At 36.3% G+C, this 2,012-nt stretch overlaps 1 protein-coding gene across 1 annotated transcript; it reads left to right on the top strand.

Annotated features, from left to right (window-relative positions):
- Positions 1-823: 823 nt before the first annotated feature.
- On the top strand, positions 824-1,771 carry OR11H1 (olfactory receptor family 11 subfamily H member 1). Its single transcript, NM_001005239.2, has one exon. It carries the CDS (start codon positions 824-826, stop codon positions 1,769-1,771), a length of 948 nt encoding a protein of 315 aa, NP_001005239.2.
- Positions 1,772-2,012: the final 241 nt, after the last annotated feature.

A 2,012-nucleotide genomic window follows, 5' to 3' on the forward strand; every position in this document is an offset into this window, starting at 1 on the left:
TAAGGAAAATCAATCTCAAAATTTTATGAAATACCTTCAAAAGTAAAGTTTAATGTCTAGATCTTTGCAAACTTTTGTACATAATGACTAAATCAATATTATATTGATTTTATCAATATAATAATCACTATATCAGTTTATGAAATTAAGGTAAAAGATTAATCAGAAGCTTAAAGCCTTTGCTTTCTACAGAAAACATTGCAGCTTTACAATATTAATATTAAAAATCAATATTGGTGAGTAACATTAGATAATCACTTAAGCTAACAACAGCAGCAATAGAAATTCAGAGATAATGGCTTTAACGTGATTGCTACCAATTTATTTTAAAATATGTGCATTTCTTTTGCATATGTAAATAATGTTAAGTAATATGTTTAGCTGAAATGTAAATGGTCAAAACTTTCTTTACTGAGTCTATTGCACCATAAGTTGGGTTTGCAGTAAGAAACTAACACATTTGTGCCTTCTCAAAGTACTAACTTTGAGTTGTATGCTATCCAGAAACTATATTCAATCATTTCTGTCTCAAAATAATGACCTTACAAAAGGAATTTAACTTTACCTAGTTCTATCACGATTGCATATTAAGGAGAGATTTAGAAGATGGCAGAAGTTTGTTTTTGTTCAATCAGCTACCTACGAAGCCCAAAACTCATATACTGTATAGCCGAGAAAAAGTAAACTACATTCTCTTCCTAATTATTCTTTTGAAAAATGACTTCATGTTCATTATCTTCTCTTCATTCTTAAAAAAGGAACACATTTTATAAAAGAGTCCTGACTGATAATGTGTCCCTTGACCTTGCAGGTCACTGGCCTAATGAATGTCTCTGAGCCAAATTCCAGCTTTGCTTTTGTAAATGAATTTATACTCCAAGGTTTCTCTTGTGAGTGGACAATTCAGATCTTCCTCTTCTCACTCTTTACTACAACATATGCACTGACTATAACAGGGAATGGAGCCATTGCTTTTGTCCTGTGGTGTGACCGGCGACTTCACACTCCCATGTACATGTTCCTGGGAAATTTCTCCTTTTTAGAGATATGGTATGTCTCTTCTACAGTTCCCAAGATGTTGGTCAACTTCCTTTCAGAGAAAAAAAACATCTCCTTTGCTGGATGTTTTCTCCAGTTTTATTTCTTCTTCTCTTTGGGTACATCAGAATGCTTGCTTTTGACTGTGATGGCCTTTGATCAGTACCTTGCTATCTGCCGTCCCTTGCTCTATCCTAATATCATGACTGGGCATCTCTATGCCAAACTGGTCATACTGTGCTGGGTTTGTGGATTTCTGTGGTTCCTGATCCCCATTGTTCTCATCTCTCAGATGCCCTTCTGTGGCCCAAACATTATTGACCATGTTGTGTGTGACCCAGGGCCACGATTTGCATTGGATTGTGTTTCTGCCCCAAGAATCCAACTGTTTTGCTACACTCTAAGCTCATTAGTTATTTTTGGTAACTTCCTCTTTATTATTGGATCCTATACTCTTGTCCTGAAAGCTATGTTGGGTATGCCTTCAAGCACTGGGAGACATAAGGCCTTCTCTACCTGTGGGTCTCATTTGGCTGTGGTATCACTGTGCTATAGCTCTCTTATGGTCATGTATGTGAGCCCAGGACTCGGACATTCTACAGGGATGCAGAAAATTGAAACTTTGTTCTATGCTATGGTGACCCCACTCTTCAATCCCCTTATCTATAGCCTCCAGAATAAGGAGATAAAGGCAGCCCTGAGGAAAGTTCTGGGGAGTTCCAACATAATCTAAGGCATATTAGATTATTCCTCCATGATCAGATCAGTACAGTCTAACAAAGAGAAATCAGAATTATATAGTTATTTAAATCTAAAAAATATGGACCTAGTGATATTGACTATATCAGCCTATGAAATTAAACACCTGTTGGACCCCTTACAAATTAAAGTTGCCAAATCATATAGATAAATGGAAGCGTGTGGTTTCCCTTTGGCACCTAGACTGAGTATTAACTGAGGAATACACATATTTG

The sequence above is a fragment of the Homo sapiens genome, chromosome 22, assembly GCF_000001405.40.
Source record: "Homo sapiens chromosome 22, GRCh38.p14 Primary Assembly".
NCBI lineage: Eukaryota > Metazoa > Chordata > Mammalia > Primates > Hominidae > Homo > Homo sapiens.

What these genes read in the sequence shown, in the direction of transcription:
- OR11H1 (NM_001005239.2), top strand. Translation starts at nt 824, where the DNA reads ATGAATGTCTCTGAGCCAAATTCCAGCTTTGCTTTTGTAAATGAATTT.